Source organism: Homo sapiens, chromosome 3 (genome assembly GCF_000001405.40).
Source record: "Homo sapiens chromosome 3, GRCh38.p14 Primary Assembly".
In the NCBI taxonomy this organism is placed as follows: domain Eukaryota; kingdom Metazoa; phylum Chordata; class Mammalia; order Primates; family Hominidae; genus Homo; species Homo sapiens.
In genome coordinates this window covers 70319542-70333933 of record NC_000003.12, presented here as the reverse complement: position 1 = coordinate 70333933, position 14392 = coordinate 70319542, and the positions used below count along the sequence as shown (strand labels likewise).

The 14392-nt window shown below is 36.3% G+C and overlaps 1 long non-coding RNA gene across 3 annotated transcripts in view, besides 1 other annotated feature; it reads right to left on the bottom strand.

Moving 5' to 3' along the window:
• The window catches only part of SAMMSON (survival associated mitochondrial melanoma specific oncogenic non-coding RNA), a 435002-nt gene that overhangs the window by 100656 nt on the left and 319954 nt on the right, over positions 1-14392 (bottom strand). The window lies entirely within an intron of this gene.
• Positions 9850-11049: an enhancer, noted in NCBI's record as "CDK7 strongly-dependent group 2 enhancer chr3:70372036-70373235 (GRCh37/hg19 assembly coordinates)". NCBI's record gives its function as "activates an origin of replication core promoter dependent on BRD2, BRD4, P300/CBP, MED14 and CDK7 cofactors, with strong dependence on CDK7, by STARR-seq in HCT116 cells {active_cell/tissue: HCT116}" and the evidence as "EXISTENCE:reporter gene assay evidence [ECO:0000049][PMID:35650434]".

Below are 14392 nucleotides of genomic sequence, written 5' to 3'. Positions count from 1 at the left end.
CAAGTGAGAAAGTCATTGTCAACCAATATGTAAGAAATTGGGCAAGTTTAATTTCTCTCACGTACTTAACAGTTTCTAGCAGTTTCTTCACATGCTTCATTGGGTTATCCTGTCACTCCACTCCATTTGGAGACCATTACTATGGAAACCGAAAACTGTTAAAGGGGTTTAAGCAGGACTAAGACATGATAAAGGCAAGTTGGAGGAATGCTATACAGCAGCAATACGTAAGGTAATTTGGAGAAATAGAGAAGAAATTTGCAGACTAATTAGAAGACCACTTTGGGTACTTAGATGCTGGGCTCTATGTAAAAGTGTGAAAAGAAAAAAAATAAAATCAAGGCCCGGATGGTTTTCATCTTTCAACCTAGTATTCTGTAAAAGGTTATGTTTTCTTGCACAGAATCCGTATGAGTGTGGTAGTTCCAGGCAGAACATGTAGACAAGACAGTATCCAGTGAAGAAAACAATGAAAGTTCCCATTTATGTCTTTTAAAAAGTATATGTTTTATACATGTGTGTGTGTATATAACCATTTGAATATTTAAATATTTTTTATTATTTTAATTTACTTATTATTTAATATTTTTTAATTTAACGTTTAAAGGGAAGTATACCCTCCCTAGACATTCCCCTCACATCTCATTGGCAGGATCAGGTCACATGTTTCTGTTCTAGGTGCAAAGGAGGATGGGAAATGAGTATGTGGCATTTCAGCCTCCAAAGTGTGAAACAGGCTCTGTCCACAAGGAAGAACGAGTGGGGAATGGCTAGTAGTCCGGCAATATTGGAAACAAGAGGTTAAAGAATGGTAGCTGCAGCAACAAGAGAAAAAAAAATTCTAAAAAGACAGAACATAAAGGAATTTGTGACCAAGTAAGACAGTCTGAGTGAGACTGAGAGAAGAATAAAAATGGCTTTTAAGTTTTTCAGGCTGAATGGTCAAGGAAAGATAACAATATTGGTAAAGTAGAGGACGTAGGAGACCTTATTACTCATAGTAACATCAACTAACATTTGTTAAGAACTTACCTGGTGCCAGCTGGGCGCGGTAGCTCACGCCTGTAATCCCAGCACTTTGGGAGGCCGAGGCAGGCAGATCACGAGGTCAGGAGATCGAGACCATCCTGGCTAAAACGGTGAAACCCCGTCTCTACTAAAAACACAAAACCACCGGGCGTGGTGGCGGGCGCCTGTAGTCGCAGCTACTCGGGAGTCTGAGGTAGGAGAATGGCGAGAACCCGGGAGGCGGAGCTTGTAGTGAGCCGAGATCGTGCCACACTGCACTCCAGCCTGGGGGTCAGAGCGAGACTCCATCTCAAAAAAAAAACCAAATTTTCCTGGTGCCAGACACTGTGCTAAATGCCCCATTACCTCATTTAATTCTCACTCTAATGCTACTACTGATCTATTTTAAGTAACTTCTTCCAAGAGGTGAGCTCAGTTTGAGGCACTGGTTCTGAGATGACACTTGGACATCCACAAGAAGAGTGGACAGGAACTGCAACTTGCAACCAGAATGAGGATGGAGGGAGGTATCTTGGAGTCATTCATAAGGGACTTAACCTAGGAATGGCTTACTAGCCTGGAACACCAGGAGCGGGGAAGTCCTTTCAACATCGTGAACTAATCCTGCAACAGTCAGCCTGTTTATGTGAGAGTTCTAACGAAGAGAAAAACAAAACACAAATCTGAAGTGAGCTTCTGGTAATAGTCCTCATGTCCCTAAACATATTTGTTTCTCTTTTGAATGCTGTGTGTTTGAGTTAAAGAAGAAATTCATTCTAATATATCTGCTTAGTTGTCTTACATTGCCATGTCCTTTGCTTTGAATATTTGTGCAATGAAAGAGAAAGCCACACTCAAAAAAATTCAAGTTTATCTAAACAATGGCGGTTTCCATTTTTAGATCATTCATCAGATCTATCAATACTGAATTCACTAATGCCACACTTCCCTTTGTCTGCACATACAGTAGTGACATAGTAATTTAATTGTGAAGTTACTGTACCAAATCTCATGAGGTTTCCCCAAAATCTTACACTAATGCCATTTTGTTCCATTAACTTTTATAATCTCCTGGCACTTGATAAATTCTGAATTGTGCCATTATCTGAATATGACAGTCTTCTGTGAATAGAATCAAATGGAACTTGATTTCTTTACTACCTCATTAATAGTCTAGATAAAGGGCAGGGGTGCAAATTATCTGACAATTTTTAGAAACAAAAACAGCTGTGCTTTATTCTATCATTTATGTAAACATGCTGCTTAGAAAAGCTTAAATAGGTGAATCATATTTTAACATGGTGAAAGTGCACATCTCTGACAAGATTTGTGTGTGCAGACTTTGTTGTTTTATTTTCATCAATAGTTCCTTGAATTTTCTTCCTTATCTATCATAAAGTACAGTGAGGTGTCAAGAGCTATGTGGAATGCTTAAGCCTAGAATAGATTGAATAAATTGGATTTGTGGGGGTGGAAAATCCAGGGTCTGATTATCAGGTGGCCCCAACTCTTGTTCTGATAAGAGAGAAACAGAAAACACACATTTCTCTCTTTGGAGTCCCAGAATGTGATAAGCTGTACATAAGCCCTAGCGATACACCAGTAGCTCATCCACTAGTGCCAATTACTTCACGGGACGAAGTTTTGACTGGGCCAGGTAGGTGGGTTGACATCGGCAGGAAATCATGCATTGGAGAGAAAAAAATATATAGAAGAATGATGGAAATAAACATAATGTTACAGAAGAGATTTCTGAAAAATAGGATGAGATTTGTGGGCACACTTAAATAATCTTTAGAGCTCATACGTTGAAGGATTCATGTTTTGTCTAAGAAGAGAAAAGCTTCAATTTGGGGATCTCAATCTTCTCAGGCTTAATATCACCACAGGGTTTTTATGCATATTGTTATCAACATAAATAAAGTGAAATTATTGAAAAGATGTAAAATGTTCACTTGTCCTACTTTAAAAGTAATTGCCTTCTCCTTTCACTTATAAGTGTATAAAATTATATTTAATGAGTTGTCTATAATTTATTTTCATTCACTTCAATCATTCATATTCTATATAACAAATGTCTATTTATATTATTTTGTGTACAAATTTAAATGATTTGTTCGGATTCATTTTGAATGTTTTACTGAGATGTGAGGCAATTTCACATTGAAATAACCACTCACTATAATTTACTATTATTTTTGTATTTAATTAAAAACCAAAAACATCTTCTCCCGTATACTTCACTTGGTTACTTTTAAACCAACAGCACTGACTCAAATAGCATAATATTATAGGACATAATTATCAAGCAGGGTATATAAACAACAATTTTTATGTTGGAAATATAAATGAAGGAATGTTTGAATGAATAGATATGCAAATATTGAGTTTTTCCTCTCCTTCCATTATTTTCTGGTAATGTCTCTTACCTATAAAAGACCTCAGGAAACCTAAAACTGTATTAAGTGGTATTATATAAAGACAAATATAGATATACAATATAGATAAAGATAGCTTGTCTGAATATGCCATTTAATATTAGTAGCTCATTTCACTTTTCATGTACATCAGATTACTGATATGTTCTCAAAGTTTTATAACTAATTATAGAAAAAGATATGTGGGTTTTGAAGGGTTTAGATCAACTATAAGTTCATGATTAAGATTTTAAAAATATGACTTTAAAAATGAGAAAAACGTTTGTAGATATTAATATTACTGATTATTTCTTTGGTCACTTTTGCAGTTTCTCTTAAAGTTTATATATTTTTTCCGAATTAGGTGTGTGATCAGTTAATTTTAACTAGATAATTTATACACTTATTTAAAATTATTCATTCTTTTTTGAAACAGAGTTAATAGTCTTTTACATTGGAATCAAGTTTTCTGGCCGTCTTTTTATACTTAGATTATGTTTCTTCCTGAATTTTTAACCTTTAAACATCTAGTAACTTTTTCTTGTAAATTATTTCAAATTCTACCATACCAATACTTGGTGGGTGTATGAAGTACATACAGGTGTTTTTCTGATAATTTACAAAACAAAAAGATGAAAATCTTTAACCAAAATATTTCTGCTTATTCAATTAGAAACCTTTTATTTCAATAAAGTTTTGAGAAACATCAATTAAGCAAACCAGAGATAAAATGATTTTTTAAGCCTTTAAAAATTTTTTTAAAGGAAAATCTTTAAGATTCTATTGTGTGATTTTTCTTTAGTCCCAGATAATATGTCTACAAATGAATTTCATGAAATATGCCAGAATTCATATTCTCATTTTTCTCTGGTAGTGTTTTCTAGTTTCTCCAGGATATTGTAATCACTTGAACATTTTCTATTAAAACAGAAAAATTTCTGTGTGGAATTACATTTTCAATAATTTAAGCCCCTGAATTTTTTCTATAATACAATATTTTTATAATAATCATGCACGAATTCTTACTTAGTTTTGATATACATGATTGAGTTGCTACTAATTGATTAATGCAACCAGACATAAACTGAGCTCCACACCTCTCTCACATTCCTCACCAATTCAAAAGTGTTTTGAAAAATGAAATGTAACAGCAGCAAAAGAGCTTTGCCAATAATTGTCTCACAGATAGTATTTTAGAGTTTTTGGAATTTAAAGAACCATAAAGGCAAATGTTAATAGAGCTTTTAAAAACTAAGAACTTATTAAAGATATATGGTTAATCCTTCACTTTTATTCAGAAAGTTTCTCCTGTCACACTTGAGTTCTATACTTTTTTTACCTTAATTCTAAATGTTTCAGAAAATTTACTGCTACTCTTATTTTCATATGATGAATGACCATGATTAACTATATGAAGTAATTGAATGACTAAAATTTGGTACTGTATTGCTAGCTGGTTGATTTCTTTTCTTTCAATATTTAAAAAAGTTGCACAACTGTCTTCTAGTTTGCATGATTTCTGATGAGATGGCTACTGTCTGTTGTCATTTATCTTTTTTATTCTGTGTAATGTGTCATTTTCTCTCAAGTTACTTTTAAGATTTTTCTGTTTAGTACGAGCTTTAAGTAATTTGATAATTTTTGGTGTAGTTCTCTTTCTGCTTCTTGTGCTTGCATTTCATTGAGCTTCTTCAATTTGTGGGTTTCTAATTTTCATCAAATTTGGAAAACGATTCAGCCATTATTTCTTCAAATGTATTTTTTCCCTGTCTCCTCACTGCATCACTCTCTGGGTGTCAATTACTCATATATTAGACTGTTTAAAGTTGTTCACCACTCACTGATGCCCAATTCCTTATTTTTCAGTCATTTTTAAAATCTGTGTTTTTATTTTGGATAATTATTGCAAGGTTTCCAGGGTCACTCATATTTTCTTCTGCAGTCCTTAATCTGTTCTTTCTTATCCAACTCATTTTTGTTTTGCATCTTAGAAATTGTATTGTCATCTCTACAAGTTCAAATTGGTGTTTTTCTAGATCTTCCATGTTTCTCCTCATGCCCAGGCTTTCCTCTGCCTTTTGGGACATACATAGTTCTATTTGCTGTCTTTAGGTTCCTGTCTACCAATTCTATCACCTATGTCATTTCAGTGTATATTTCTAATGATTGATTTTCTCCCCAATTACTACAGATTGTGTGGTTAGCTTCTTTGGGTACGTGGTAATTTTTGATTGGATGTCAGACTGATATGGTTGGGCTGTGTCCCCACCCAAATCTCATCTTGAATTGTAGCTCCCATAATTCCCACGTGTTGTGGAAGGGACACAGTGAGAGATATAAATCATGGGGGCAGACCTTTCCCATGCTATTATTGTGATAGTGAATAAGTCTCACAAGATTTGATAGTTTTATAAAGGGGAGTTTCCCTGCACAAGCTCTCTTCTCTTGTCTGCCACCATGTGGGATGTGCCTTTCACCTTCCACCACAATTGTGAGGCCTCCCCAGCCATGTGGAACTGTGAGTCTATTAAACTTCTTTCTTTTGTAAATTGCCCAGTCTCAGTGTGTATTTATCAGCAGTGTGAAAACGGACTAATACACAGACATTGTCACTTTACATTGTCTTGTTCTGGAGGATTTGTTTATTCCTTTCAACATGTTTTACCTTTTTTTCTGGGACAGTGTTATTTGGAAAATTTTGGCTCCTTTCATGGCTTCCTTCCAAGCTCGATTAGGCTGATTCAAAGGTGAATTTTCCCTCACTACTAGGATGATATCTGAGGACTTACTGGATGCCCAGTGGTGAAGTCTTTTTATTCTGCCTGGTGGAAACACAAGTTCTTCTGGACCCTGTGTGAGCTCTGGCTGTGGTTCTCCCTTTTCCTTTCTGGTAGTCTTCCCTGGACTCTGAAGTTTCCTCACTTGGACGGATTGAGCCATATTTTGCTGAAGACTTGATTGTTTGCTCTCCTTGCAGCCTTCTCTTCAGGACACAGACATGTGAATTCTACCTGCCTTAGCGTCCCCAAATTCTGAGTTCTGTCTCCTCCACTCTGGCCTACTACCAGACTCTGTCTAGGTTCCCCAACCCTGTAAAATCTCTCTGGGCAGCAAGCTGGGCAATCATAGAGTTCCTCTTGTTTTCCTTCCTCAGGGGTCACTGTCCTGCACAGCTTGTTGTCTAATGTCTAATTACTGTGGATTATATGTTTGTTTGTATGCTTGTTTGTTTTAAGTTGTTTATGGTGGAAAAGCAAATCGGTTCTTCTTACTCCATTGTGTCTAGAAGCAGAAGTTCCTCATAACATATTTGATAGATGTGAATATTAGTATTAATTATTATCATCATCCAGCTGGACACAGTGGCTCACTCCTGTAATCCCAGCACTCTGGGAGGCCAAAGTGGTTGGATCACTTGAGGTGAAGAGTTCGAGACCAGCCTGGTCAACATGGCGAAACCCCATCTCTACTGAAAATCAAAGATTAGCCAGGTGTGGTGGCACATGCCTGTCAGCCTAGCTACTCAGGAGGCTTAGGCAGCAGAATTTCTTAAACCCAGAAGGCAGAGACTGCAGTGAAACAAGATTGCACCACTGCACTCCAGCATGAGTGACAAAGCGTGACTCTGTCTCAAAAAATATATATATATTATCATTATCATCACCATCATCATCAAATATGTACAATGATGCCTGAAAGGCATAAAACCTTATCCATGACTGTCTTGCTATCATCATGTAATTCTCATGTCCATAGAATATCTATTTATGGGGTAATTGAATAACAAAAATAAAGGAAAGGTAATCATATAAGAGAGAAAAATATATTCAAAATTTGGGGAAAAAGGGAGGAAGCCTACATGGAAGGATAAAAACTCTCGTAATATTCTTTAGCTATTCCAAGTGTCTGCTCAGAATATAAGAGATGGCCACTGGACTGAAATTCATGCCGAGGGCTATGGACCTCAGAGCTGTTAAGTCAAAATGAAAGTTCACTGCCACAGACTGGGAAAGAAGGCTGCACAACAACAATAATAACTGCCCACACTTAAATATTTACTTTGTCCTAGCAATTGTTTTAACCACTTAACATTTAGTATTCATTTACTCCTACAATAATACTATGAGATGGATGTTATTATTAATTCCCATTTAATAGATTGGAAAAGTACAGCACAGAATGGTTGAATAACTTGCCCCCAAAATCAGACAATTAATAAGTGGCATAGCTGGAATGTCAAACCCATCATTTGCAGCCTATATTAAGAATCTGCACCAATTTGCAATTGTTACACTCTGAGAGTAAATAAGGAAGACAGAAAGAATGGCAGAAGGAAGGGAAAGAGGAAGGAAAGGAGAAAGGGAGGGAAGGAGGGAGGAAAGAGAGCACATTAAAAATGAGAATAGAAATTCCCCAAAGTCAGAAATACTCAGCAGTTATGCCGATCTCAAGATCAGGCTTTGACTGAAATAAAATCAATTTTACTAGAGTTCTGAGAGCGGTTCTAGGAAACAAAGAGTGAAAGATGAGATAAAATAAAGTTGTAACAATCAACTGGATTGTAAATACGTGAAGAAACACAGTTCATCCGAGAAAAGGTGTCTAGATCTAGAAGGGGTTTATCAGTTATGTTAGGGCTATCCAGGCTATGCTGGGTGGCAATGGTAGCCTGGTAGTTCAGACAAGACTTCCTTTATTCTAACAGAGATGTGATTTACAATCTGATATACCTACCAGTTTTCTTCAAGGACTGGCCCTTTGTTTTTATAAACATCTGTTTATAAAGGGCAAAGGTTGATGTTATGCAGGTGCAGTATTAGCCACACATATTTTATTCCTTTGAAAGAGGGTGTTGTAGGTGGAGGGACAGATAGAGTAATAGTAGAATTTGAAATGAGCAAATGGCAAAGGAAGTAAATGTCTCAAAATTTCTCACCATATAAGGGACTACATTACTGTTCTAATAAAATGTTTTAATATATTTTCCTCTCTCACAGCACAATTAGAGATGCTTTTGAGTTGATTATTTCCTCTTTTGAAATGTAAATGAACACTTGAAAGTTGAGCCTTATCCAATCTTTCTGCAGTAACTTTTGTCAGCTAATCAGATCCACACTTAGTTGAGACACTCACAGCCCGCATGGGTGAGGTGACTGGAACAGAAAATGAAATACACGTACATACTTACAGTGTATCTCAACAGAGAAGCAACTCACTTGGGGCAGGTCAGTTCTTTATTGTGCAGGATGTTTCCTGCATAACAGAATGGTTAATGCCCCAGGTTCCTTTACCAAATATACCAGTAATGTTTCCCAGTTACTATGCAACATAAAGTTCTCTTTCTGAGAATCACTGCTTGCATCACCAAGAGAAACCAAGAGCATCAAAAATCACCTTATTTTACAATTTTGCCAGAATCGTCCCTTCCACAACTAACATATGGAACTATCTCATTTGCATGTAAACACCGGAGTTAAGAACCACTCTAAGCCCAGTTTTCCTGCATTTCACTCAAGGCTAACCTGGTTCCAGCTTTCAATATCCAATGCCTTTTTTTCCTAATCGTATCACTTCTTTTTTTTTTTTTTGGCCATTTACATATTCACCTTCCAACTCATGATGGAGAAGAAAGAAAAGGAATGGAGAGAGGAGAGGAGAAATATTTCCTCTATCACCTGTTTATATATCATGATGCATTACGCTGTGCTTTTGTTATGTCAGGACGCAGTTTCTGCCACTGGCCTTTCTCTTGTTCGATCTTCTGAAAAGTACTGGAATGAATTACACTGCACATCAGCAAGAATTGTTTTTCATCACATGCTTATTATCACATCACAATAAAAGGGTTGCATTCAATTTTTGACTGACTAAATGGGAATTTTAAGTTACATTAACTCTGTACTTCGACAGCACCTAGAAATAGTCAAATAAGTTTGATGAAAGCAGGACTGAACAGATTACTTTAGTGCATAGCTTTACAAAAGCCTTTACTATGTGAATATGTATTAGGATCGCAGTGCAGGGGGAGGGGATGATTTCAGTTTCTCAAATATATTTGACCACGGAGTTAAATTTCTCACCTATGACTAGAATGACAAACAAGAAATTAAAGATTCTGGTCTTCAGGCTAGTTAAGCTATGGTAATACAGACCTTCAGGGCCGCTGATCTGATTCCCAGGCAGTGCATAACTTTCAAGTGGGTGGTGCCACTTGTATGAACTGCAATGTGAATGGGCACTCTATCAGTCATACAACCACTGGGAGATCTCTCTCTCTCTCTTTCTGTGTGTGTGGATAGATAGATAGATGATAGATAGATAGATAGATAGATAGATAGATAGATAGATAGATAGAGAGATGTAAAGGGGTCTGTTACAGGGATTTGAACTTACACAATTTGGGGAGCTGGTTAAACAGTCCCTGTAGGGCTGTCATCTTTCTTTCTGATTCTGGGGCTTCAAGCTGCCAAAGAAGGGGGTCAGGAAGGGACGAATGAATGTAAAGTGGAGGATGGCATGGACAGGCTGGAATCCATGAGCCTGAGGTAGAACCCATGAGTTTGGACTGGAGCTGTGTCAGTTCTCCCTGCCTCCAGCCCTTATGAAGTAGGCATCCTGCAGGAGAAGCTGGTGCCCTTCATCCTGAAGATAGCTTATCTCCAGGTGAGCTCAAGAGATGGAGAAGCTGAAGCAGACTCCAGGAGGAAAATGGGCAGTTGCAGATGAACTGTGGCCTCACAACAATAAGGTATGCCAGCAGAAAAGGAACAAGGTGAAGGAGCTACAGAAAGGGCTGCCCCAATCTTCTTCCCAATGTAATAAAACAATATAGCAGCTGTCACATTTGTCTTTCAAATCTCCCACAAAAATATATTTTGTGGCCCTCCCTAGCTGGAAATATACAAGGAAAGAAATTCTAGGAAACAGTTCAGCCTTGCCAAGTTGCCATGTTTCAAAGCCATCTCACACACCCTGGAGTTCTGCAGTGCGCAGCCTGCATGGCTGCATGTACCAGCTTACAACATGGATCAGGCAACCATTGCAACTCTCCCACTTAGGTAAGGTTTGCAAAGAGGAAGCATACAGTGATGTAAGAAAACATCCTGGTGTCACCATACTAACTCAGAGAAGTTGACAATTCGGAGAAATGAGCTGGCAATGTAGAAAATTTTCCTTTGAATGGTATGAACTTGGGATCACTAAGGCCTGCCACTTAGTACGAAATGAACACATTCATTTTACCTTTCATAATGACAAAAAATCTCGGATTAATTTTATATTTTCCTTAACTTCAAACAAGATTAATGAGAGAAAGGACAGCTTTTCTTTTTCTTCTTCTTACGTCCTGTGCATTTTAGAGGAGATTCACAATTCAAGAGAAAGAGCTTTGTACTTTTTATTTATCTGAGAAGTAAAGAGATGCCATTTTCAATCTAATTTGTGGAATGAGAAATTTCTTTTATCATCTCCACTTATCCTTCCCCCAAATTCAACCACTGTCTTCTTTTTCTTAATCTTTGCTCCCTAAAATTTTCTCACGACTTCTCCAGAAATCTCATTTTTCCCCTTAGAATTTGTATAACATTAACAACTGTGTATTCTTAGATTACTGTAGCATTACCTGTGTAGGTCCTGTGTGGTTTTAACTTTACTAATTTTATAATTTAGGGACACACTGATATTCTTTTCTAATTAGTCTCTATGGCTCTTCAAAGAATTATTTTATCTCAGATAAGATCAAATAAAACTGCTTACAATTTTTTATTTGCTTTATAGTTCTTTAAAGGATACAAAGACATCATTTGTGAATAGCTGATCAAATGTTAGAATTTCTTTTTGGATCCAAAAGTCCTGTTATACTGAGAATATATTTGAAGTTCAATCTATTTAAATATCCTGCTTTAAGACTGACCCATGAGAGGTGGTCTAGAGAAAAGACTGATCAAGATAACATTTTTTTCTTTCCCTCCTGGGTTACAAAAAAATGTACTTTTCGCGGATGTTGGTAGAAGATCAAGTACTGGACGAAAGAAAGCATGGTTGTCTGTCCTATTTGGGGAGGAGATCTTGGAACTACAAAAGCAAAGACACAGTCAAGATGACAAAGAACTTGACAATTAGGAGATGAAGAGGAAAATGACTACATGTAGACAAATGATGCCCCTTCCCTCAAGAGAAAGACAGATGCTAAGATTTAGGATAAATTTAACTGACATATTGTATTGGTTAAAGAGGACTTTGCCTTAAGCATAATCATACCTCGGTCAATAATATCTATTAGTTTACATAATTATTTCACAAAATTGTTAAGAATTTAGCAAAAGGTACTGTACTGTGAGGATCCAATAAATCAATGTTTTCTTATTAGTAAATAATTTTAAAGTAATTTCTAATATAAACTTAGTAAAGCAAATTTTTGAAGGATAAGCAATATTTTATATTGCTGCAGTCACTATCATCCAAATATTCCAAAACTCCTAGGTTTTTAGTGAGAAAACTATGCTGTTATTTCTGTAATTTGTTTGTAAAATAAAATAAATTGAGCTTGCAAATGTACTAAAAGCTCAATATCTTTAACAAAGTAATACTTCACGTTTACAAGAAGATGATATATTCTTTCATCTCTACGCTACAATTTTGGGAGGGTAAGAAATAGTATCTGGTCTACTGTCTCTAATTTTATGTCATTTTTTTCCCCTTTAGAGAGTTTTCTAGCATATTTTAGTTAAGCGAAGGCCTTATAGTAATCAAATACTAAAAAAACTCTATCTGGATGTCAGCTAGTTTTTTAAAGGTAAAGTTGATCCTCTAGGATAAAATTAATTTTATAGGGTAATGAAGAGTATTTTTTCAATTGCATTTTCTAATGACAGTTTTATTTATTTTGGGAATTTTTCTCTTCAAAATTTTTAATTTGAAAATACGAAAACCATAAAAACATAAAATTACAAACTTATACACAAATGTTCATAAAGCTTCATTTGTAATGGTCGCAATTGGAAACCACCCAAATATCCATTAACGGGAATGGATGACAAAATTGTAGTATATTAGCACAATGGAATACAATAAAAATAAGTGAATATTGATTCACACAACAGTGTGGATGAATCTCCAGATCATTGTGCTGAATAAAATAATTTAGGCAAAAAGAATACATACTGTATAATTCCATTTATATTCAATCTAGAAAATGCAATTGAATTCATAGGAAAAGACAAAAAGATTAGTGTTTGCCTGGGAATGGGGATGGAGGGAGGGCTGGATTACAAAGGGTTGAGGAAATGTTGGGGTGATGCAGATGTTTATCTTGATTATAGTGATCATTTTGTGAATGTATAGATATGTCAAAACTGATCAAAGCATATGCCTTGTGTCATTTATTAGCCTGGATCCTGTGTCATTTCTACTCCAATTATACTTCAATAAAGTTGCAAAATCAAAAATCACTCATAATAAACATAATTGCTAAGCCTTTACTGGGTGTTTCTGACTTGCCCAGGTTTTTTTCCAAGCTCTTTACTTTCATTAACTTGTTTAACACTGCCTCCCTCCCCAACAACTCTGAAGTAGATGCCATTATTATGTCCACTTTACAGATAAGGAAACTGACACAATGAAGTTGCCTACTTTGCTTTCCCTCACATGCAAAATTTGTCTATTTTCTCGCATTCCAAACAGGCCGCCCTAGCTGACTTAGACCCTACAGTTAACCTAAGTAGGTAAATGCTAATGGATTGCATCCCAATTCCAAATTTTGGGAGAGGATTGGATTGGCCAGCTTGAATGACCCATTTCGGACACAGTCTGTAGTGGGGAAGGAACATGGTGGCCTGGTGGTGCTGAACAACCTCTGTCAGTAATGATGGTCCTCTTCTAAGAAGAAATCAATTCTAAATAAGGTTGTTTAGGTGCTGACTAAATTGGCAAGCTCATAATGCAGGTCTTTGGAGAAAAGAGGGGACTTGAAATGAAAGTATAGAGTAAGGCTATGTGTTCAGATCAACAAAATATACGATGCCATTATTTTTCCATAACTGATTTTAATTTAGCATTTGACCCCACATTTCTGCTGATGGTAGAAAACAAACTTGCAAATCCAATCTCTCAGTCTTTTCTAGCTTAAAAAAGAGGGTTTTGGAGCAAAATAATTCCCCCCTTGCTTTGCTCCTGGGTAGCACACCTACTACATGGTAACCCACTGTCATTGCTGGTGGTCTTCACTTAAGTAGAGCACTTTCTGCTAGCCTTTGCAATGATCCCTTTTCCCACTGCTTCTTCTCCCAATGTCTAAAACCTTGCATTGCCTACAGCTTATATCATGTCTGTAGTATCCACTAATGGCATCTCTAATAATCATCAGGACCCCTATTCCTGTTTGCTGGTCCTCAGCACTTCTCTCAAGCTTGAAGGAAGTTTGGGATTCTCTACATGTGTCCTTACAATATATGGATCTCAAATCTTTCCATCTAGATGCCTCCATCTACCACTGGTACTCGGACACCATGTTGGATGCAGAAATTTTCTATAAGTCTTGAAATTTACTAATGTATTTCTAGGAAACTCGACAACAGTCTATTCTGTTCTAGTATTTTCCCAGATTATCTGGGGATTTTAGTGTCCCAATTTTTTCCAGGATTAACTGAGGCAATAATATACCAAATCTTTTTTTAAATAAACATCCAGTATCTAAACCATAGTCACACATCCCTTCCAAATTTCCTTCCCACTGACTTGTAAAAATTTAATTTAATGGGATGGTTAGCTCAAAGAATACTTTTAAGCAAATTTGTATTCTTACCTATCATATGATTTATGGCTTAAATGGAATCTCAAGTCTTTGGTACTTATCATAAAAAAGACTTACATTAAAAACTACTATCCTTCTAAAACTTAAAATAAAGTGAAATTTGAATCTCAAAGCTTAGCCACTCTTTGTTCTAGGCTGTGTCTGCCCGTCACAGGAG